General features: G+C 38.2%; 1 protein-coding gene across 5 annotated transcripts in view; it reads right to left on the reverse strand.

Annotated features, from left to right (window-relative positions):
• Window positions 1-25260, reverse strand: part of STARD13 (StAR related lipid transfer domain containing 13) — a 573658-nt gene that overhangs the window by 330832 nt on the left and 217566 nt on the right. For all 5 annotated transcript variants that reach the window (XM_017020835.3, NM_001243476.3, XM_047430759.1 and 2 more), the window contains one exon: window positions 5723-5756. In XM_017020835.3, coding sequence (XP_016876324.1) covers window positions 5723-5756 — 34 coding nt within the window. The remainder of the gene's footprint in view (window positions 1-5722; window positions 5757-25260) is intronic.

Here is a 25260-nt window from a genome sequence, read left to right on the forward strand (position 1 = left end):
ATGGACAAGCAGTAGCAACTTAGTCAATAGTCAGCCCTCCATGATATTCTTTGGAGAGTATTTGTTTAGTGAAAGGTACACAGTCTTAGAAATCAAACAAGAGGCCAGGCGCTGTGGCTCACGCCTGTAATCCCAACTCTTTAGGACGCCGAGGCAGGTGGATCACTTGAGGTCAGGAGTTCAAGACCAGCCTGGCCAACATGGCGAAACCCCATCTCTGCTAAAAATTCAAAAATTAGCTGGGCATGGTGGTGTGCACCTGTAATCCCAGCCACTCAGGAGGCTGAGGCAGAAGAATCGCTTGAACCCAGGGGGTGGAGGTTGCAGTGAACCTAGATCATTCCACTGCACTCCAGCCTGGATGATAGAGCAAGACTCTGTCTCAAAAAAAAAAAAAAAAAAAAAGAAAGAAAGAAAAAGAAATCAAACAGAACGAGATTTAAGTTCCAACTTATACACTTATTGAGCAAATTAACATTTTTGACCCTTACTGTTTTATACATATAAAGTGAGGACGATACTTCCAATGATATAGGGTTGTTTTGAGGACTGAATTAATGAATATACATAAAGAATGTCAAAGTCTCATAATGCTTTCTTGGCTCATGAAAGCTCTCAGTCAATACGGATCTGTATTCCTCTAGTATCTTGGAATTACTCTCTTCAAACTGGGGTATTCGGCAATGTGCAAAGAGGGCCACAAAGCCACCAGATAAACACGAGATCTTCCTGCTGCATATACGTTTCTTGGTGGCACTTAACTTTATTAATATAACAGCTATTGTTTAGGAGTTCATTTAGTCAGCAAATGTTTTTGAGCACCTGTTGTATGGCAGCAGTCTATTGGGAGCAAGGGATAAAATAGTGAACAAGACATGGACTTTCTAGCCTATTGGAAAGGAAGAAAGGAAGGGAGGGAAGGAAAGAAGGAAGGAAGGAAGGAAGGAAGGAAGGAAGGAAGGAAGGAAGGAAGGAAACTATAAGTTCTGACAAGTGCTCTGAAGAAATAGAGATTGCAGCCATAGAAACTAGTTGGGGAAAGAGTCAACTTCTTTAGCTAGAGTGAGCAGAGAAGGATTTTTAAAACAGGTGGCATTTAGGTTTCAAGAGAAGGAGACAGCCAAGCTAAGTTATGGGACAGCAATGCTGAAGTCACCTGAAATCTTAAGGCCAAATATAAATTTCATATTTGTTAGTAGGGCAGGTTCCTTGACTTCTCTGCTACTCAAGGCTCTTCAGTAGATGTTTGGGGAACTTTGCCCGGAAGAAGTCCATGAATTCCACTGCGAGAGGTAGGAATGGTGGATAGAAAACACTCTCCTTTTCCCTATCTGTATTTAAGTTGGCAGCTTGCAAGAGCTAAAACTAAGTACTCAGAATAACTTTCAAGGGAATAAGCTGATATATCTCAACTATGGAGGGAAAGATTGTATTTTAACTAGATTTATAAAGCTCTTAAGCTTTATGTGGCACTTGCATTTCAAGATAGAGATTCCCACTAATTAAAATCAAATAAAACTAAGGTTCTTCTTGGCACACTTTGATGCTTTCTTTTTGCCTCATGTGGCTGTATTACTACAGAATGGTAATTATCTCTCTACATATATAGCCATAGGAAATCACAATTTAAAAATCTTACTAAATTACTATAAATTTCATGAAATAGTTATAAATTTACTTTTTGAAAGGCTCTGGTTTCACTGGAAAAATCTAGAGAGATAATTTAATTTAGGCAAGCTTCTTGAAGGAGGGATAATTTTATCTCACTTTATCTTTGTATTGCTAATGCCTTGCACAGTGCAAGGGACATAATAATGTTCAACAGACACTTAATTAACTAAATTGAAGTTATAATTTCATATTGGAATTGATAAAGGGTACCAAAAATCTCTTCGGCTCAGATATTTGTCACTACAATTAAATTCTAGTGAAACAGAAGAATAGGTACACTCCATATAGTACATGATTTTCTTCATAATAATTGGATTTGGCTAGTACTTTTGATTTCCTACATACTCTATACTTCTAACTCTTGTGAAATTCTGTTCCTGACAGATCCTTCTATTCTTGATAATGTGCCTAACAAAACGCCATAACACAATGAAGCTGAGAAGGTGGGAAGTAATTATAGCTCTTGGAGGAAGGTTGAATAGCTATGTCCGTGAAGCGTCTTTTGAAACTGTTCTAAGAAGAGTTGTCCCTATTGCCCTAGTGACATTACTCAGAGAAAAAAATATATGATTTCTTCAGATGTGATTTTATTTTCCTTAGGTTTTAAAATTGTTTTCTAAACCAAAGAAAATTTTTTTACAATCTTTAAATGAATAGTATGTTGTGCACTAAGAATGGTACATCAATGTGAGATTCAAATATTCTTGACAGTGAAGAACACAGTAATTTGGCTGTAGTCTCCTATTGACACATTTAAAGAAATGATAATACATACAATGAAAAGAGGAATTAAAAAGCAAATTAAGTCAACCATCACTACTTGGGTTAATTTTATAGTATGTGTATATTTAGGTATATATTTACTCTTCAAAAATAAATTAATTTTTCATTCCATTAAGCAAACTATAGTATAATATATAACATTCATTTCTGTTGTGAATTTTTATCTAATAAAGGCCACAGCATAATAGGCATAAACTGGGAGGAATTATCCCACTGTTGCTACAGTAGATGTTTCTTTCATCACTAGGCTGAGATCTTTTGGTCCCAGTGGACAGCTTAAACTGCCTAGAAAAGAGTGGCATTCTCTCTTAATCTGTAGTGAAAGCAATAATGACTGGCCTTTAAACCACCTTATTGTGCCTGTGCTTTTCTGCTGGAATCTCTTTTACTTTGGGTTTCACATTTTACCCCCATCAGTGACTGAGACCAGAGGAAAATGTGAATCAGGCAGTTTTGGAACACAAGAAAAAAATCACCTCACAAGGGTCAACAGTGGGTCAGGGTCATATCCTCCTACTATACGTCACATTCCGCCTTCCATCTTTGTATATGGAGGGGCCCCTTCAGTCTGACTACCATATTCTGTTAAGGGAGGAGACCACCCCTCATATTGTCTTATGCCCAATTTCTGCCTCCAAAGAAAGAAAAAGTAAAAATTAAAAGGCAGAAATGAAATCCACAAGCAGACAGCCCAGTGCCACACCCTGGGCCTGGTAATTAAAGATTGACCCCTAACCTAATCGGTTATGTTATCTATAGATTACAGACATTGTATAGAAAAGCACTGTGAAAATCCCTATCCTGTTTTGTTCCAATCTAGTTACCGGTGCATGCAGCCCCCAGTCACGTGTACCCCCTGCTTGCTCAATCGATCACGACCCTCTCACATGCACCTCCTTAGAGTTGTGAGCCCTTAAAAGGGACAGGAATTGCTCACTCAGGGAGCTCGGCTCTTGAGACAGGAGTCTTGCTGATGCCCCTGGCCGAATAAACCCCTTCCTTCTTTAACTTGGTGTCTGAGGAGTTTTGCCTGCGGCTCGTCCTGCTACATATCTCTGCTAAAACGGAGCAAAGCTCTTGGACATTCCAATCAAGAAGCAATGATGGAAAGCCAAATTAGGAATGAGGGCAGTTGACTTTACATTTTACAAACAGCAGAAAGGAATGAACATCAAAAGTTTAAATTATTAATGATTTAATTTGAAAGATGAGGTTAAAAAAGGGGGGATGACTGTAATTAAAAAACCCAAACTTATGGACTGCTTTGTATCTGCATGGAAATTGGAATTAGGCTTCTATAATTCTCCTTTGATTTACATGTTCAGAAAAATTGTTCTCAGATATACTTCACCAATATTTCCTTCTCCCAGAGTGCTTTCCATAAATATTTATGTGAAAATCGATTTGACTGTCTTCTAGATTTTCTGGCCTGCTTGCTTATTTGATTTTTTCCCCTGCCAAATGAAGCCCTGAATGACAGAGTGGTTAAACAGCGAAATATTCAGGCTGTAGTAGACCGAACTCTCATGCACGATACCTGAAGACCCACAGGTAAGCTCCACATCCAATCTAGGACTATTAAACCACTTCAGAGCCTCCATGGCTGAACTTCCTCACAGAGATGTAATTTGTTAGAAAAGTACTTGTCATTTCCACCCAGAAGTCAACTACGGTTGTTTCTTACTTTCTTGATTGTAACTTTTACATGGTGAAAAATATTCTTTTGCTATAATAAGTTGGATATACTTATAAAATGAAGAAAATAGACTTATTATTCTAGTTATCAGTTCTCCAGGGGAAATACTTTGATTGTCTAAAAGCTTCACAGGCTGCTCATTAGTGTAAATCCCTTTTTTGGTCATTTCTGAAGCGAAACACGTTCTTTGCTGATGTAAATGCAGTATCAGCTCCTTTAATTCAAGTTGGAATTTCAACAAGAGAGACGAAGCACAGAGGGTTCTACTTATGTCATAATTTACTATTTGGACACATTCATATGATTTTAAAAGAGGTCTGTGCTTATTTCCCACTTAGCTGCCAGGTGGTTGAGGGTTATATATAGTTGAAGTCCCAAATATAAAAGTGGTCATGGACAAAAATTATGCATAGTTGATGCTACAAGCATTTCTCAGAATGGCAAGAACAAATTCTGCTTGGTTGTTTAGTGGGAGAGCTGATAGGTTCGGCACACTCACTAAAGACATTTTCCTGACAAAGTTCTAGCCAGTCATTTTTGCCTGGAGGCCCAGTGTAAAGGCCTCCTTGCAAATCTCCCCAAGAGCTGAAGAACAGCAGATGACTATATCCCAGAGATCCAATGCTCATCCTAAGCATAAGTGAAGCTGAGATCTTGGGTGTCTGAATAATGAACTGAAACTGGTTCTCAGCAGATTATAGAAAAATGAGTGTATAAAAATGGAAATAATGCTGGCACCAATGCAGATAAGGGTAGCATCAGACTATTGCTTTTAGAGGCATTATTTGACAAGATACTTCAAAATTGGGCTTTAAAGATATAAACTCAGAGAAAAGTGTTAACTTTCAAGTCTAGCAATACGCTATCTACAAGATATGAAGAATACATGCAGTGGAATCACATAAAGGGCTTTGAAGGGGTTCCTTTCTATGTATAAGCATGTAAATGACCGTATGAAGTGAGGACTGATATGGAGATTTCAGAATGTCTTATCCATAATGACTATTCAAATGAAAAGTACAACAACAGCTGCTAAAGAGTTGGTAAGAAGTGGTGATTCAAGATTGGTTAGCTGTTAGTTTACATAGTCATTAAAATAAGATTCCACAAATAAAGCTGCCAAGTATTCAGATTTATACAGAACATTTCCAAATACAAAAGCTATACAAATAAACCACTACCCTCATATATGCCTTATTTTCAAGAGGCCTTACCTTCGAAGCAGATGTTTCAGTAAAGGTGCAATCTTTTATTTAATTCCTATTTAACTTACAAGGTACATTTCAAGATAAAGACTGGTTATGCAAAGCAACTTCTTTCTGTGTAAAATCAACTTTACAAAATGGAGATAAACTCAGCAGCATGGCTGCATGAGGACCAGAGAAAACCCAATGAACTTTTCCAATTTTCAAAATGCAGGTCAAATTCTGATTTAACATCATACTGTATCCATCAACTTTGCATCCATGATTCAGCAACACTTATGGCATGTTTAAATTTATAGGGATGAGGCAAAGCTCTCCAAACAACTTTTATACATAAACAGGAAAACATTTTCTCAGGGAGACTTACCCACTCTTTCTTTGGGTCTGTTATCAGAGAGCACCTGTAAAAAAACAGTATCACTCTTAATATCTCAAAATTATACCACTTTTGTGAAGAATATTGAGTTTGAGACAAAAAATAAGATTGTAAAATTAGAATCAAATGGCCTCCAGAAATGAAAATAAAATGCCAACTGAGGCATGAAGATTGAATGATTTTAGGAACTACACAAATCATCAGGAATCATAAAAGTCATCAAAATACTCATTCATGGGGAAGACGCATTAAATGTATTTTTCTCTGACTTAAGTAAAGATTTATACAATACAGGCCTTGTGCAGTGGCTCATGCCTGTAATCCCAGCAATTCAGCAGGCCTAGGTGGGAGTTCCAGGCTTGAGCCGAGGAGTTCGAAATCAGACTGGGCAACATAGCGAGACACCCTGCTCTACAAAAAAATTTTAAAATTAGCCGAGCATGGTGGCATGTGCCTGTAGTCTCAGCTACTTGGAAGGCTAAGGTGGGAGGATCTCTTGAGCCTGGGAGGCAGAGGTTGCAGTGAACCGTGATCGTGTCACTGCACTCCAGCCTGGGCGACAGAACGAGGCAAAAAAAAAAAAAAAAGATTTACATGATACCATGTGTCTATTTAGTAACTGAGAAGAAGACTAAAGTCTAGTTTTAATCCACTGCTCCAGGGCCCTGGTGCCACCAATAGTCTCCTTAGTGCTAAAGCCAGGCCCTGCGTCACTGTGTCTCTCAGTGACATCACAGGCCCTAACTCAGCTGACTACTCCTTCCTTCTGCAACTTTATCCTTCTGGCCTTCTGAATCCCATGCTGTCCCTGCTGTCTTTTCTACCCCTCTGCTTGTTCCGTATCATTTTCTTGGTGGGCTCTCCTTTTGCTTGTGCCCTTCTTATATGCTGATTTCATTTACTTAAGTTTTATTTTGTCTTGTTAGGGATGGGTGCTGGCCCTTCTTCCCTTCTCACTTTGCACCTTCTTCCAGGGTGATCTCATGTACTTTCCATCCATATTCTGATAACCTTCAGGTTTAGATCTCCAACTTAGGTCTCTTTCCTTGAGCTCCAGGAAAACAGCGATTTTTTTTTTTTTTTTTTTTTTTTTTAAGATAGAGTCTCACTCTGTCACCCAAGGCCAGGCTGGTCTCGAACTCCTGAACTCAAGTGATCCGCCCACCTCGGCCTCTCAAAGTGCTGGGATTACAGGCATGAGCCACCGTGACTGGCCAAGAACAAACTGTTGATTGCACATTTGCCTTTGGACATTTCACATCAGACACCTCAAACTCTGTGTCCAAAACTCAACGTCCTCTCCTCCCCTCCCACCTCCTCCTCCACCTCCTTGTCCACACACACATACAGATCCCCTGTCTATGTTCCCTCTGTCTTGGTGAATGGTGTTTCCATCTACCTGTTTGCTCAAATCAGAAACTCAAAGATCACCCATGACTCCTTCCTGTCCTCACTACATCCTGCTGAAGCCTACTTCCAAATGTTGCTTGAATCCATCTGCTTCTTTTCATCCCTGCTGCCACCTCCTGGGCAACATTCAGGTAATACCTAGAAAATTGCAATAGTTTCCTAACTTCTTAGTCCGATTCTAGTCTTAATTCTCTCCAATCTATATTCTCAGCCAGTGTGATTCCTTCAAAATCAATGTGATCACTTCAATCTTCTTAAAATCCTTCAATGATTCCTCATTACTCTAAGAATAAATACAGTTTTGTGGTTAAGATAATATGTTTAGCAATCAGAAAGACAGTTCCTAGCCATATGACCTTAAAAAAGTGACCACATTTCTCTAAGCCTCATTTCCTCATCAGTAAAATGGGGTTGCTTTGAGGAGTAAGTACAAAAATTCAGGGGATGTCCTGAGCCCCAAGTGTAGCAGAGAAAAGGTATACAGTAAATATTGGTTGATTATTGTGAAGGAAATTCGGAAAAACAGATGCTTACGATTATTAACTTTTTCAAAGTATCAGGTACACAGTATTCTACAAGAGTCAGTCAGGAAAGAGGCAAAATGATGATGCAGTTAAAGCTTTGTCCTTGATACCACAGTTCCTTCCCATCCCATTGTTTGTGTTTCTCCCTATATTCTACGCCTGTGCTCATACTTGCCCCGGGAAAAAGCAAATCCACAAAAGAGTTGGTAAGTGACAATAAGATCCACTTTTCCCAAGGATATTCACATATGAAAGGGACATCATTTGACAATAAACACCAATAAAAGAACTTCATTTCATTTTAATAAATGGTGCAACTTCAGACATTTGTGACACACAGAGGAGAAAAGATCCCTCCATATTTTTAAACTAATATCAGTGGTTCTGACTTGGTCTGGAAGCAAATATATTTAATGACTATTTGACCTGGAATAAGAAACAGAGTAAACTTAGAAAGTAAAATAAGCTGTGTTACTTGAACATAATAAAACATTAAGCATTATTCTCTAAATACAATAATGTTCTGACAATCATGTAAATTAGAAATAACCCAGTAGAATTCTTCCATTTCAGCTGTTTAAAAATTCTCACTTACGAACTAAGAGCAATTGCTGCCGAAAAATTTAAGCCTCACGGCTTGAAAAGGAAACAAAACACAGAAGTATGCTTTCTCAGCCACACCTTGAGATGGAGTGCTAACAGAGCTACTCATACATTAATAATAATAATAATAAATAATCCTTGGCACAATAACTGAAAGTCAGATTACTTGATTTCAAAATAAATCAATGCAACCCAACTGAAATAGGAATTCCAGAGAGAATATTTGACAAAAGTATGGCCAAGTATTATCTTGTCCTAAATGTAGAATATTTAAAAGGTAAACAGAGTTTGAATTTGATGAATATATGAATGTATACAGAATAGGAACATTTCAAGTGCGAGGTATCATGATGAGATAAAAGGAGAAACTAATTATCTGAAATTAAAGCAACAAAAGTTAGTGTTTTGAAAAATGAAAAATATTTGAAAAATATTACTGAAGTTCAAAGATGTTAGAGATATTAAAAATGAGCCCCTCATGTATCTACCATTTTAGTAGTACATGAAACATTAGAAGCAGAGGCATAGGGGCCCTCATTTCCCAGGAAAATTGATGAGGCAAAAAATGAATACATAACACCCATTTTCCATAATATATTAATTGTAAAACATTCATAAATGTGATGGTGAACATATTCTTCTTTATGGATTATATAGCAATATTTTAACATAATAATCTTCACTTAAAATCACAGGATGCCAGGGGCCAGGGCAAGAAGGAATAGGGAGTTATTGATTAATTGGTACAGAGTTCAGTTTTACAAGATGAAGAGTTCTGGAGATGGACAGTGGGGTTGGTTGCATAACAATCTGAATGTTCTTAATACCACTGAACTGTACACTTAAAAATGGTTAGGATGGGCTGGGCGCAGTGGCTCACCCCTGTAATCCCAGCACTTTGGGAGGACGAGGCGGGCGGATCACAAGGTCAGGAGATGAGACCATCCTGGCTAACACGGTGAAGACCCGTCTCTACTAAAAATACAAAAAATTAGCCAGGCGTGGTGGCAGGTGCCTGTAGTTCCAGCTACTCGGGAGGCTGAGGCAGGAGAATGCCTTGAACCCAGGAGGTGGAGCTTGCAGTGAGCCAAGATAGTGCCACTGCACTCTAGCCTGGGCAACAAAGCGAGATTCTGTCTCAAAAAAAAAAAAAAAATTGGTTAGGATGATAAATTTTATGTTAAGTGAATTTCATAACAATTAATAAAAAGGGTCCCCCCCCCAAAAAAAAAACACTAGAAGCACACACTCTATTGCAACCCCGTATATTGAACCTCCTGCTGCTTCCTACTTCAAACCCCTCTGTTTGGAAATCCAAATAGAAACTCTTTAGAACTTAGCAATATAACACATTAAGAGGATGTCTCGGCCATGTGTGGTGGCTCACGCCTGTAATCCCAGCACTTTCGGAGGCCAAGGTGGGTGGATCACTAGGTCAGGAGTTCAAGACCAGCGTGGCCAACATGATGAAACCCCGTCTCTACTGAAAATACAAAAATTAGCTGGACGTGGTGATGTGCACCTGTAATCCCAGCTACTTGGGAGGCTGAGGCAGGAGAATCATTTGGACCCAGGAGATGGAGGCTGCAGTGAGCTGAGCCGAGATTGTGCCACTGCACTCCAGCCTGGGCAACAGAGCGAGACTCAGTCTCAAAAAAAAAAAAAAAAAAAAAAGAAGATATCTCTAAAATCCAAAATGTGACTTATGGATAGACAATTTTAGAAAACTGCTCCTATTGGGGGGATAATTATTCATACTCACCTAATAATCCTGAGATTATAGTTAGCTCTATAAACATGAAGGAAGGGTACACTTTGGAGCAGATGTGAAATGATGTCACTTATTCACTGATGTCAGTATAGTTAGATCACGTGTCTCTCGACCACCAGTGGGTTTTCTCTGGGTATTGTATTCACTAAACATTTGCCGAGTGCTTAGTCAGTATATAGATACACACATTTCTAGCACTATGCTAGGTGCTTAACCCTTTCTGTTGTGTAGGTGGCTTGGAGCAGGTAAGTGGTCTATATTGGAGATCCAAGAACTCTAGAACTGTAAGAATTATCTCATGGATAATTCATGGATAACTATTAGAATTATCTCATGGATAATTCTCATGGAAAAAACATGACTGTAGTTTTGCCATTTATCACAGACCACAGATAGCATAAACCATGTTTGGGTGGCTTCAGTTCCTTCTTAATTAGCAGTAAATTCCTTTGAGTTACATTTAAGGGTAATTTGCAGGCCAGGTGCAGTGGCTCATGCCTGTAATCCCAGTACTTTGGGAGGCCAAGGTGGGAGGATTACTTGAGGCAGTGAGTTTGAGATCAGCCTGGGAAACATGAGGAGATCCTGTCTCTACAAAAAAAATAGAAAAAATTAGCCAGTGTGATAGCTTACATCTGTAATCCCAGCCACTAGAGAGACTGAGGCAGGAGGATCACTTGAACCCCAGAAGTTGAGGCTGCAGTGAGCCAGTGTTCCCACCACTGCACTCCAGCCTGGCTGGCAGAGTGAGATCCTGTCTCCAAAAATGATTATAATGTAACAGTAAAAAATTTCAAAAAGTCATTTGCCTCATTTGCTGAGATCCCCCAGAAAGTGTTAATTTTGTAATACCTCCAAAGCCATAGTAGTTATAAATCCATGTTCATGCAGACAGTCTAAAAACATCTTAGGTATTTATTTTATGATAAGGCTGGATATAAAATGCAATTGCTTTTTGAAACAAATGTACCCAGTAATGTATCCTTTGCCCACATAGCCAAATATGACAGATTAAAATACAGAACTGCGCTAAGTAACCATAAAAACATTCAGATAATTTTTTTTGGGAGGCTATGTCCCTTAGGGCTTGTAATGATCAATCAAGTCAATGAATAAATTAACTACTATTGTACTAGTCAAACTAGAAAGCAGTTTCAACACCTGCTGCTCCTGAAAAACAAAGGGCCCATTTTTTCCTAATGCCCTCATGTTAACCTTTAAAACCAAAAGCAGTAGATAAAAATCCCAGAGTAAATAAATTCTTATGTAAACATGGAAGCTATTTTATTATCTGCCCTTTACTTTATTCAGAACTCACCTGCTGGTTTCAAACTCAATAGGTTATATTCAGTAGTAACCTTGATTTGAATATTACTGGATAATGTCTAAGTAACAATGAGTAGAAAAGGTTAATCACTAGATTACCACTAGAAAGTTAGTTTCCTTAGACAAGTATATGGGATATATTACACACTGAGTTTGGCCCGAGTAATTTATGGCTGACTTTGTTATAGGTGAATTATATCTCAAATAACCTTTTCCTAAATCACCCTTGTCTTAGTTTGTTTGCGTGTTGCTACAAAGAAATACCTGAGGCTATATATATAAATAAATATATATATATGTTTATTTGGCTCACAGTTCTGGTATCCCGAACAGCTCAAAACTGGGCAAGGGCCTCAGGCTATTTCCACTCCTGGCTGAAGGTGAAGGGGAATTTGTATATAGAGAGATCACAGGGAGAGAGAGGAAGCAGAAGAGGGGCCAGGTGCCAGGCTCTTTTTAACGACCAGCTTTCACAAGAACTAATAAAGTGAGAACTCACTCACCCCTCAACCCAAGTGAGGGTTTTAATCTATTCATGAGGGATCTGCCTCTGTGACCCAGACACCTCCCATTAGACACCCATCTCCAACATTGAAATTAAATTTCAGCATGAGTTTTGAGGAATCAAACATCCAAACTATAGCACTCCTCATGTTAGCTACCCAATAGATCATGTACAAATTATACATAAAAAGTATAGGGTTTAAAAAAAGAAAATAAAATATTTCAAAGCATTGTAATCTGTAATTGCAGAGTCATTTTGACAAGACAGTCTTAAAGAAGAGGTTAACCAAACTATCAGTTGATGAAGAAGTAAAATGAAAATATAATGTTCCTTATTTACCATACTAAATTCTCACTATTCCCTTTAAATTTGAATTCAAAATATTGCAAGCATGGCCTTGCAGGAAAGTTCCCAAAACTTTCTATTTCTGCAAAAATTCTATATAGTGATTTCTGTCTAATTATCAAAGCTATTCTTTCCCTGACTCAGGCCGAGAAAAGGCCATACTGACTCTTAGCTAGAAGGAGGGAAGAGACAGGGATGATCACAATTTCCTCACATATGACTACGTGATGAAAGCTAAAAAGAAAAAAAAAACCAAAATCACTAAAAAAGATAGATTATATAGTTTTAAATATACTTTTTATTTTTGTTTAATCTTCCCTGATTTCCTATAGATCTGAGATATGTCATGCTTATTTTCATTGCTATATAAAAATCTCAATAAACTTTATACATAAGAGTAAAATGAAAATCCACTTTTGTGGACTGAAAAATATTTCAGTTTCACCTATGATATATAAATCTCTCTGTTTCTAAATATAAATTTTGGTGTATGTATATTAGCGTTCATGTATTTGAAATAGAAGGAGTAATACAGAATTTTAGACATTTAATCTAATGCAAAAACACGAGTCTTTACTAGTTCAGTGAGTCTAAAATGATGCTATTTAATAAACCATAGCATTTTAATAAGCATTCTTGACATCTGGTGCTAATAAAAAGGACTATGTTTTACAGTTAACATTTAAGGAAAAAACATGACTGTAGTTTTGTTATTTATCATAGATCACAGATGGCATAGCCCACATTTGGGTGGCTTCATTTCCTTCTTGATTAGTTTACATAAAGAGGCTACTTGTTCTCTCTCTTTCTGTGTATATTTTATACAGGATTTGGGCCAAGTCCCAGAAATTAATACATGAACAAAGAAAGGAATTCATTAAATTTAATGTGAAGTTTCTGAAAAACAAAACTGATTATAGACTTTTTCTGGATCCAGTTTAGTTAATAGATTCATTCTAAAACAAGGATCCAAGGAATTTTGCATCTGGAAAAATATTTGAAGCAAGTTTTCTGGAAATGCAAGAAACCGCAAGGACCTAAAAACGTCCGTCTCTTGTACAACTATGTGCCCTAGGCAAATACTTACTAGTCCTTCTATCCAAAACAGGTTCTTCCACGAGCTTGTGTGCAAGCCAGCAGCTGAGCATGATGCTGCTGCAACACCTAGACAGGGATGTAGGCTTCCAGGTGCTCTCCTTGCCTCTGGCTAGCTCTTTTCCAACCATGAAACTGAAGTATGGGCTTCCCTTTTCCTACTTGCTCAGACTTTTTGTGTTCTTCCCTTTAGATCCTTTGCTGAGTGTCCTGCTCCAACTTGGACATTAGACTTGAGTTGTACTCTGACTCTCATTAACCCCAACTTACCACTTCCTTACACGTTCCTCTGGAAAATGTCATGCTTATCTGGAAGCATCAGTGCAAGAGTATAAAACATATGTCATATGACTTTTCACTAGATTTTGTTAGAAGGATTGAAAATTAATGATTACATTTACCAGATAGTAATAACAGAAATAGTATGCTCTAAGATGCTCAATAAGACACACAGAAGCTCAGACTGAAAAGACAATAGATTAATCTGTGAGAAATGGAGAGATGGGAGTGTTAATTAGCTCAAAATCCAACAAATTTTATCCTCAGAATTCTTTAATTCTGAAAATAAGAGAGAAATAAGATATATATATAAACACCATTAGAAAGCAATTAAATGCAGAATTTATTACAATACAGAATTAACTGATTGAGATAATAAGCACAATTAATTTTTAGAATACCTTAAAGTTAGTGAAAGAGGTTATGTATGCTGTTGAAAATCTGACTAGATTAGAATAAAATTGAGTTCTTCTTTAAACTAAATTATCGTTATTATTATTAAATTTTTATTGATACATAATAATTGTACATACTTATGGGATATGTGATGTTTCGATATGTGTTCATTGTGTTATGAGCAAATCAGATTATAATAGCGTATCCAGCACTTAAATATTTATCATTTCTTTTTCTGAGTACATTCAAAACCCTCTCTTCTAGCTTTTTTGAAATATGATACATTATTGTTAATTCTCCTATTCTCCCTCCTCACTACACTTCCCATCCTCTGGTAACCACTATTCTACTCTCTACTTCAATGAGAACAACTTTTTTAGATTTCATATAAGTGACATCATGCAGTATTCATCTTTATGTTCCTGACTTATTTCACTCAATATAATTTAACAGGTTCATCCATGTTGCCACAAGTGACAAAATATTCTTTTTTTATGGCTGAATAGTATTCCATTGTGTATATATACTGTATTTTTAAGCTCATTCAACCACTGAGGGGATTTAGGTTCTTTACTTACCTTGGCTGTTGTGAATTGTACTGTGCTAAACACAGGAGTGCAAATACCTCTTTGACATATTGATATCATTTCCTTTGGATATATACCCAGTAGTGGGATTGCTGGAGTACAGGGTAGTTCTATTTCTAATGTTTTTGAGGCACCGCCATACTGTTTTCCATAATGGCTGAACTAATTTACATTTCCCCTACCAATGTGTAAGGGTCCCCTTTTCTCCGCGTCTTCACCAACATTTGTTACTGTTTGTCCTTTTGATAATAGTCATTCTAACCAGAATGAAGTGATATCTATTTGCATTTCCCCGATGATTAAAAATGTTGAGCTTTTTTTCATATATTTCTTGGCCATTTGTATGTCTTAAGAAATGTAAAGTCAGGCCTTTTGCCCATTTTTTAATTGAGTTTTTGTTGTTGTTGTTGAGTTGTTTCAGTTCCCTATATATTTTGGATATTAACGCCTCATCAGATGCATAGTTTGCAAATATATTCTCTCACTCTGCATGCTGTCTCTTTGCTTTGTTAATTGTTCTATTGTCCTAAAATGCTGTGCCAAAAAAAAAAAATAGGTTGATGTAATCCCATTTGTCTATACTTGCATTTGTTGCCTATGCTTTTGAAGTTTTTATCCAAAAAAATCCTGGTGTAGGATATTTTTCATGGACATTTTCTCCTGTGTTTTCTCTTTTAGCAGTTTTGTAGTTTTGGGTCTTACATTTAAGTTTTTAATTCATCTTGAGTTGATGTTTGTCTATGGTGAGAGAAAAGGGTCTAGTTTCATTCTTCTGCATGTGTTTAACCAGTTTTCCTAACACTATTTATTGAAGAGACATTCCTTTCCCCATTTTGTATTTTTGGCAACTTTGTCAAAAATTAATTGGCTGTAGATCCATGGATTTATTTCTGGATTTTTGATTCTGTTCCATCAGTCTATGTGTCTGTTTTCATGGCAGTACCATGTTGTTTTGGTTACTAACACTTAGAAGTATATTTTGAAGTCAGGTAGTCTAATGTCACCAGGTTTATTCTTTTTGCACAATATTTCTTTGGCTATTCAGGATCTTTTGTGGTTTCATGAAAATTGTAGAATGATTTTTCTATTTTTGTGAAGAATGTCACTGGTAATTTGTTAGCAATTGCATTGAAACTGTAGATTGCTTTGAGTAGTACGGACATTTTAACAATATAAATTATTGCAATTCATGAACACAGGATAACTTTCTATTTTTTGTGTCTTCTTCAATTTTTTTGTAGTTTTAATTGTAGTTATCTTTTGCTTCGTTAGTTAAATTTATTCCTAGGTAATTTTTTGTAGCTATTGAAAATGGTATTGCCTTCTTGATTTCTTTTTCAGGTTCTTCACTATTGGCATATAGAAATACAACTGATTTTGTATGTTGATTTTGTATCTTGCAACTTTGCTTAATTTATTTATCAGTTCTAATAGTTTTTTTGTGTGAAGTACGGGGTTTTCTATATGTAAAGATCATACTATCTGCGAATAGGGACAGCTTGATTTCTACTCTTCCCATTTAGATTCCCTTTATTTCTTTCTTCTACCTGATTACTCTAGCTAGGACTTCCAGGACTATGTTCAATAAAAGTGGTGAAAGTGGGCACCTTTGTCTTGTTTCAGATCTTAGAGAGAAAGCTTTCAGCTTTTTCCCTTTCAGAATGATGTTGGCCGTGAGTTTGTTATGTATGGCCTTTATTATGTTGAGGCATGTTCCTTCTATACCTAATTTGTTGAGAGTTTTTATTATGAAGAGATGTTGAATTTTATCAAATACTTCTATTGAGATAGTATGATTTTTGTCCTTCATTCTATTAACATATCATGTTTAATGATTTTCCTGTGTTGATCCATCCTTGCATCCCTAAAATGAATTCCACTTGATTATGGTGAATGATATTTTTAATGTGCTGCTGAATTTGGCTCACTTATTTTTGTTGAGGATTTTTGTATCTGTGTTCATTAGGGATATTAACCTGAAGTTTTCTTTTTTGGTTGTGTTATTGAAATTTAGTTATGGAGCCTGAATGAGATCATAGTCTAGGCTAGAAGACAGCTCTATAACAAAAAGGTTACAATCTTATAGTCCTTTAGGATCATAACTTTTTTGTTTAGATATACAAGACATAATGGTTGCACAAGAGGCAGAAGTAGTGGACATCATGTAGAGAATCAGGGGAGGTTTACAGATAGTAATATTTAAGATGGCTGTTGAAGAATATGCTCATTGGGAAAACACAGGGAGAGGGGAATTCCAGGGAGAGGAAACAACATGTACAAAAGAGAGGAGCAGAAGAAAGCATGGCCGTTTGGGGAAATGCAGGTGAAGTTTGTTTTTTGTTTTTGTATGTTTTTTAAAAGAGACAGGGTCTTGCTCTGTCCCCCAGGCTGGAGTGCAGTGGTGCAATCATGTCTCACTGCAGTGTAGACCTCCTGTGCTCGAGGAATCCTTCCACCTCTGCCTCCTGAGTAGCTGAGACCTCAGGCACATGCCACCAGGCCTGGCTAATTTTTTATTTTTTGTAGATGGGGTCTCACTATGTTGCCTAGGCCAGTTTTGAACTCCTGGGCTCAAGCAATCCTTCCACCTCTATCTCCTAAAGTGCTGAAATTATAGGTATGAGCCCCCATGCCTGGCTGAAATGCAGGTATTTTGGAATTCCTGAAATGTCAGTTATAGAAAAGAGTGGAAAGTGATAGGGTTTAAGAGACAGACGTGGGCTAGATAATAAAATACTTTACTATGTTAATGAGTTGAGAACAATTTCTGTGGTGATGAGGACTCTAAAAATGTAAGTTTTATAATCTAGAAGCAACATGAGGGATGGACTGGGGGTGGAAAGGAAGAGATCGGACACAAGTCAGGGGATTGTTGCCATAAACTATGACTAGGTGAAACATAGGGCCCGGACTAGAGTATGTATACAGAAAGGGTGTCTTGGATGGTTTTCAGGTTTTGGCTGAGCACCTGGTTCATGTTGACAAAGGGAGTAACAGGGGAGGTGTACAGGGGTTTGGATCATGAGAAAAGGAGTTTTACTTTTATACACATTGAGTTTGAAGTGACTATGAGACACTCAGTTGGGTCTGCATAGAGAAGCCGGAGCTCAGGAATGTGGAATATCAATGATGTTTTAGCTGTAAAAGACGCTGAGATTGTTTAAGGAAAGTGTGGTTATACCGAGAATAAGAGAGGTAAAGGCAAAAATCTTGGCATGATAGCATTTGTGAAGTTGAAGTAAGATTGAAGAAGAGCAGCCAGAGAAGAAAGTGATATGGTATATAACAAAAAAGGGAAGACTTTAATCAGCAGGAATAGGTTAATAGAAAAGGACTGAAAATTGATACCTCTGAAGTCACTAAAAGTTGGTAATTATGAAGTGACCTTGGCAAGAGCCAGAAGACAGAAATTAGAATAAAATAAATTAAGGAATAAGTGGGAAATAATTTACTTCAAGAAACTCAATCAGAAAGATTGAAGGAAGCAAAAATGCTGGCCTTAGGAGGTACCTTGATGAAGGGCTTTTGTAATTTAGAGGAGATCAGGAGATCTCAGTATGTTCAGGGCCTAAGGAGAAGGAGCTAGTCAAGAACACAGGTGCAAATACAAGGGAACAGGATTTCTGGAATGGACCCAGGGGCACGAGGTCTGCTGGAGAAGGAGATGAGGAGGGTGTGGATAATGACAGTCTGGCCATGGTGGGCAGCCAATAGTTGCGGGGCACACATGGGAGGAACTCTCAGTTCTCTGGGGTATGAAGGCCAGATAAGGAAGGGCTGGAGCTGGAGCTGGGGGCAGTTGTGGGGGTGGGTGTCAGGGGAAACCTATTTTCCATCTGAGAGGCAACACAGTGTTTTCCTCTGCCGCACTGTTGTAGTACTCAGACTAGAGCTTCATGCTTAAATACTGCCTCCAACTAGTCCCTAGTTATTTCACAAACCTGTCTTCTGTCCTCATGCAAATGTGAGTACTAGAAATTAATATTTCTCCTTCTCTATTTTCCTTAAGACATTATTGTATATTAGAAAGACTTGAGTTTCTGAATTAGATTCATTGGGTTTGAGTCTTGAATCCAACTCTTACTAGTTATATGCGCTTAGGCAACTCTTCTCCATTGTCTGAAATTTAGATTCCTTACATATAAAATGGAGGTAGTAATATAGACCTCATAAAAATGTAAAGATTAAGCTAAAAACTTGTGTACCATCTCTCATCCATAACATGGAGGCCTAGACTGGGCACCTGATATGCTAAATCTATGCATAATAAACAAATGAGTAACCTGGAACAGCGATGTATATCAACATGAAAATGTCTTTTCTTCAACTATTATATTCAGTTTCATTTCTAACTTTAAAATATATTGCCTGACATTAAAGAAACTATGGGAAAGGGTCATTCTATTACATTCCAATTTTGTCCTTCAGTAATCACAGCTGCCACCTCACTTTTAGGTGTGCATAGCAAGAAATCCAAATCAAGAGCTTGGGTTGGGTATTACCATGTGGCAGGCCTCCTTGGGCAACATCCCACTGGGTTTGAGTATTTCATAGGCATATTTGCCTTGGCCTTTAGTCTTGTTTTCATAGCTCAATAGTGCCAGCTTTCAAGATTATACAAGATTGTAGTGACACATTTTATTTAATGCTTCATTTTCTTTATAAGAGTAGTTTTTGGCTAAAAACCAAACAAACAAAAACAACAACAAAACATGCTATGCTTCATAAGCCTCATGCCTCTTGGTCCCTGGCTTGTTCAGCTGAATATACGCCAATAGAGAATAACTGGGTCACCAAGTTCTGGACACATCGCCCTGGAAAATGTCAGATGTTGGATGGTCTATTCCTTTCTCTGGCACCAGCTCAAGTAACTTCATGAATAAATCCTAAGTGCTTTAAGAAATAAAAATGACTCTTAAGAACATGTTTTCTTTCAAGTATAGAGAAAACACTGGTGATGTTGGCTTTTCTTTTTTAGCATCCTTTTTCATTTTGAATTTGAAAGCCACAGAAAAGCCAGTTGTTTAAGGAAATCCCAATAAGAGATGAAGTATATGAGATAGTAATAATAACATAGAGCCACTCTTTTATCTGTGTAAATGGAAGTCTAGGCCTTTAAAACTATTATTGACCAAAACATAGTTTAACAACATTTTTAGACAAAACACATTGCTGCATGCTACCATTTTAAAAAGAAGATAAAAACATTCTCCAAACATGAAAAATGTTTTTAAAAAAGAGTGTGTAACAGGGAGGATTTGGGGCCCTGCTAATTCAGCATTTGAAAAGAATGGTCTGAGTTGTTGCTTCTCTATTCTTGCAACTTCTGCACAAAGGTGCTGATGAGTAGTGAAGAGATAAAAGGTACATAGCAGAAAGAAAAGGCTTAAAAAGTAAAACTGATAGTTCGTGATGTGAGACCCACAAGCTAAACAGACAGTCCTTGAATAATGGAAAGATGATTTTTGTGTGTGTGTGTTTACTTAATGTCTCATCTCCTAACAACTCAAAGGGCTTTCTACTTGTGGAGGCTATGAGAATGCACTGTTCAGATATTTTGCTACAGGGTGCTTCTGCCTCTGTCAATCCGTCATCCTCCTGATGTGAAGAACACACTTCCTGCAGGCTGCTCCTGCCCAGTGAATGAACTTGGCAGGAGGACTGATACAGACTGTTTCCAGTGAGAGGTGGGACACTTCCTATAGGTGGGTTTGGCTCTGGGAATCTCCACTGATCAGGCTAAGCTTTCTTGGAACTGCACTGTGGTCTGAAAACCCTCCTTCTCTCCCTCCTTCCATGAGTGTCAGGCATCCATTGCAGTCTGGAGGCTCTTCCCAACTTTCCTTTCTACCTTCCCTAAGAAATCTCTTGCACATCTAATCCTATCTTCGTATCTACTCTTGGAAGACATGAACTAACATATTCATCCACTATTTTAGTTTTGCTTTATCACCATAGGCAGTTACTTATAGACAGAAAAATTGAGGCAAAAAAAGATTTAATAAATTGCCAAAGGAGATACGATAACTCAGTGGCCTGTCTGAGCTCTTTCTTACGACCTGAGGCTTCTGATTCCCTATAATCTTTCATTTAACAGATATTTATTGAATGACTATTATGTGGTTGGCTCTAGAGCTTATCCTAAGAATATAGAGCTCCTGTTGAAAAGTTCTATGCAAGAGAGTGGCATGCTTAGATTTGTGATATAATCAGATCATTTTGCTAAAAGTAGAAAACGAATGAAGGGGAGCAAGGCCAGATTAGAGGAGGCCAGTGTGGAAGCTGTTGCAGACATTCAGAGAAGAGATGATGGCAGCATGTGTGAGAGTAGAAGAGGCAAGGAAATGTTTAATAAGGAAAATTGAGAAGATTGGTGACTCAGTAGATACTTACTCTGCACCAGGCCCTGGCCTACACTCTGGGAAGGCAGAGAATAAAAGACATATTCCCAACTGTCCAGAAGGATTTGGCTGGCTTTTGTTCAAAGATATGTAAGTAAAGGAACTTTTAATTCACCCCAGTTGCTTAAAGCCCAGGAACATAATGGAAAACAGGAGGGAAAAAGTCTCCAACAACAATAAAACCAGAATATGGCCATAAGCCTAAACCACAGACTGTGACACACAGAAGCCATTTATGGTGGAAAGGTCTGCCAACAGGAGGATGCTGAGAGCAGACACAAGCCTCAGACTCTGAACAGGATGCAACCATCTCCAAAAGTAAGTGTCACGATAGTGGAAAGTCTATCCATTATCCTTTGACCAGGAAAACCAGTACTAAGAGAATTTGAGAGAGGCAGGGAGTCCCCTTATGTATAGTTCTCTAACACAAAAGGAAGTCAGGGGAGGTGGGGCTAAGACAGGCTGATGCCCCATATTACCTTTTACACCCAGAAGTGAAGCCAGGCTGAAGGACAGAAGGGAATAATCAAGTATCAGATCTTGAGACAAAGCCTTGTGATTTACCGGGCTTTAGTTTGAATCAAACTGCCTTCTAGAACAAGAGTTACAACAAGAGCCTGCCAGCTAAATCTGGCTCATTGCTTATTTTTGTTCTGTTGTGAGCTGGGAATGATTTTTACATTTTAAATAGTTAAAAAAAAATAAAAAGCGGCCAGGCACGGTGGCTCACGCCTGTAATCCCAGTACTGTGGGAGGCTGAGGTGGGTGGATCACAAGGTCAGATTGAGATCATTGTGGTCAACATGGAAAAACTCCGTCTCTACTAAAAAAACAACAACAACAACAACAAAAATTAGCCGGGCATGGTGGCGTGCATCTGTAGTCCCAGCTACTCGGGAGGCTGAGGCAGGGGAATCACTTGAACCTGGGAGGCAGAGGTTGCAGTGAGCCAAGATCGCACCACGGCACTCCAGCCTGGAGACAGAGCAAGACTCCGTCTCAACAAAATAAATAAATTAAATAAATAAATACATAAATAAATAAATAACAACGAATAATATTTCATGACAAGAAAGTCATATGATATCCAAATTTCAATGTCCATGAATAAAGTTTTATTGGAACACAGCCATGAGCATTTGTTTATATATTGTCTATGGCTGCTTTCAAGCTATATATGTATCAGTGTGCTAGGGCTGCCATACAAATATCACAGACTGGGTGGCTTAAACGACAGAATTTTCTTTTCTTTTCTTTTCTTTCTTTGAGATGGAGTCTCACTCTGTTGTCCAGGCTGGATAGCAATGGCATGATCTCGGCTTACTGCAACCTCTGTCTCCCGGGTTCAAGCAATTCTCCTGCCTCAGCCTCCCAAGTAGCTAGGATTACAGGCGTGAGCCACCATGCCCAGCTAATTTTTGTATTTTTAGTAGAGATGGAGTTTCACCATGTTGGCCAGGCTGGTCTCGAACTCCTGGCCTCAAGAGATCTGCCCCCCTCAGCCTCCCAAAGTGCTGGGATTACAGGTGTGAGCCACCACACCTGGCCAGAAATTAATTTTCTTACATTTCTGGAGGCTAGGAAGTCCAAGGTATCAGCAGTGTTGTTTTCTCCTCAGGCCTCTTTCCTTGGCTGGCAGATGACCACCTTTTTGCTGTGTCCTCACATGGCCTTTTCTCCTTGTAAGTTTTCATTCCTGTGTCCTTCTCTTTTTCTAAGGACATCAGTCCATATGGCACAGCCCTTATGAATGGGATCGGTGCCTTTGTAAAAGACACACCAGAAAGCTACCTTGTCCCTTCCACTATGTGGGAATACAGGGACAAGGTGCCATCTATGAACCAGAAAGCAGGCACTGAATTTGCTGTACCTTGATCTTGGACTTCCCAGCCTCCAGAATTGTGAGAATGGACTAAGATGAGGGAAACAATTCCATTTGTAACAGGCTACAATGACACAGTTGAGTAGTTGAAGCAGAAACTGTAAGGTTCTCAAAGCCTAAAACATTTACTATCTGGCTCTCCACCAAAGAAATTTGCCAATGATGTCCAAAAGTGAGAGAAGACTTGCCCCCAGGGCAAAGGAACTAAAAGATTTGGTGACAGAGTGTTTGTGACAAGAAAACAAATTTCCCCAGTGCATTTCCACCCAAGTTTTAGGCTCATGTTATTCCTTAGCAAGCAGGATGTCAAATGACTGTGGCAAGGAGGATAGATATGGAAGAAGAAAATCCAACATACAGAAAATTGGCTTTCCTGAAGAAGCAATCAACAATCAGAACACAAAGGTAATTCAGTCAGTAATGGAACTTTTGTGAAATAAACAACCACTTTATTTGTTGTTTGATGGCTCCCACTGTCCTCCAGAAAATCTAATACAAGCAATGCCAAGTTTCAGTGGCATCACTGATATTCCTCTCTAAAGGATGAATCATACAGGCATCCAGAAGAAAGTCCTCAAAGCCAGAAAAGAACTTTCGTTTACAAAGATTTGGGGGAAATAGAATTGGAATTAAAAACTGTCTGCCCATTTAAGTTATTCTATAAGCCTGAAAACAACAGATAGACGATATTAGGAGTGCAAGAATTCAGGAAACATCCAATACACCTGTCTTAGTCCATTCGGGCTGCTATACTAAACTACCATAGACTGGGTGGCTCATAAACAAACTTCTTTCTCACAGTCCGGGAGGCTGGAAAGTCCAGGATCAAGGTGCCAGCAGAATTGGTGTCTGCTGAGTGCCCATTTCCCGGTTTATCTTTTTGCTATGTTCCAACAAGGCAGAAGGGGCAGGGATCTTTTTGGGGCCTCTTTTACAAGAGTATTGATCCCATCATAAGGGTTTCATTCTCATGACTTAATCACCTCCTAAAGCCCCCACCTCCTAATACCATCATATTGGGGGTTAGATTTCAACATATGAATTTTGAGGGTAACATAAGCATTTGGTATATAGCAGTAACTCCTTAAAAATACAAAGATTTTGATAACAAAAACTGCTAAAGGGAAGATAGAAAATGAAAACTTAACTAAGACATGGAGAAGCCATGATACAAGAACAGGTGGTGAGCATCAAACTCATTTAAATATAGAATCACAGCATTTCCATCATCTTACATGGTTATAGTTTCTGTAATTATCCTTCACACCATTACTTAGGTTTTTATTCTGACAATGCCAAAGTAATTATATAAAAACAAAACTCAAAAAGTGCAAAGAAGGGGACGTTGGAGAAGGTGTTAATGTGCTCATTTCCTTATCTTTTATAAGAGGAAGTTAAAAGTTATCACTTAAAGTTGAAATATATAGGTTTTTTTGTTTGTTTGTTTTTTGTTGTTTTTTTTTTTTTGAGACGGAGTCTTGTTCTGTCGCCCAGGCTGGAGTGCAGTGGCTCAATCTTGGCTCACTGCAAGCTCTGCCTCCCGGGTTCATGCCATTCTCCTGCTTCAGCCTCCCGCGAAATATGTAGTTTATAAAAGCATAACAAACTCAACTGCTTAGTGTTTTTCATGTTTTCAGCAAGGAATCTTTTATAATCTGGTTTCTCCTGGGTAGAGAAACTTTTAAGTTTAGCAATTCTTTTAGTCTCACTAGGTGCTTCTTCTTATCTCCAAATAAAAATAAAATATAATACATTATGATGATGATAACATGTAGATTCATCAAGGCTGCTGCTAACACAGACAGGGTCTTTATGTAAATTAGAATCCAGCAATTCCTGTTGGGAAACAAATTATATATTCTCTCTCTCTCTTTCTTGGTAGATGGATTACAAAAGGGCATCTTCTTGCTACTGACAAATGTGTCCGGATTTCAGACCCCATTCTTCCTCTGGGCGCTTCTGAGTGAGGAACAATCTGCACAACATGTTTACTTTTTTTTTTTTTTTTTTTTTTGGAGATGGAGTCTCACTCTGTTGCCCAGGCTGGAGTGCAGTGGTGCAATCTGGGCTTACTGCAACCTCTGCCTCCCAGGTTCAAGTAATTCTCCTGCCTCAGTCTCCTAAGTAGCTGGGATTACAGGCACACACCACAAGCATGATCTACCCACCTTGGCCTCCCAAAGTGCTGGGATTACAGGCGTGGGCACCTGTGCCCGGCCTATTATTATTATTTTAATCTTGCTGTCTTTTCTCATTTTTTACAGCCTATTGAGGTACAAATGATGTAAGATAAATTGCATAGATATAGTGTACAATTTGATAAGTTATGATGTACTATATCCATGAAACTACCACCATAATCAAGGTAATAAACATCTCTTCCCTCCAAAAGTTTCCTCATGCCC

This window comes from Homo sapiens, chromosome 13, assembly GCF_000001405.40.
Source record: "Homo sapiens chromosome 13, GRCh38.p14 Primary Assembly".
Lineage (NCBI taxonomy): Eukaryota > Metazoa > Chordata > Mammalia > Primates > Hominidae > Homo > Homo sapiens.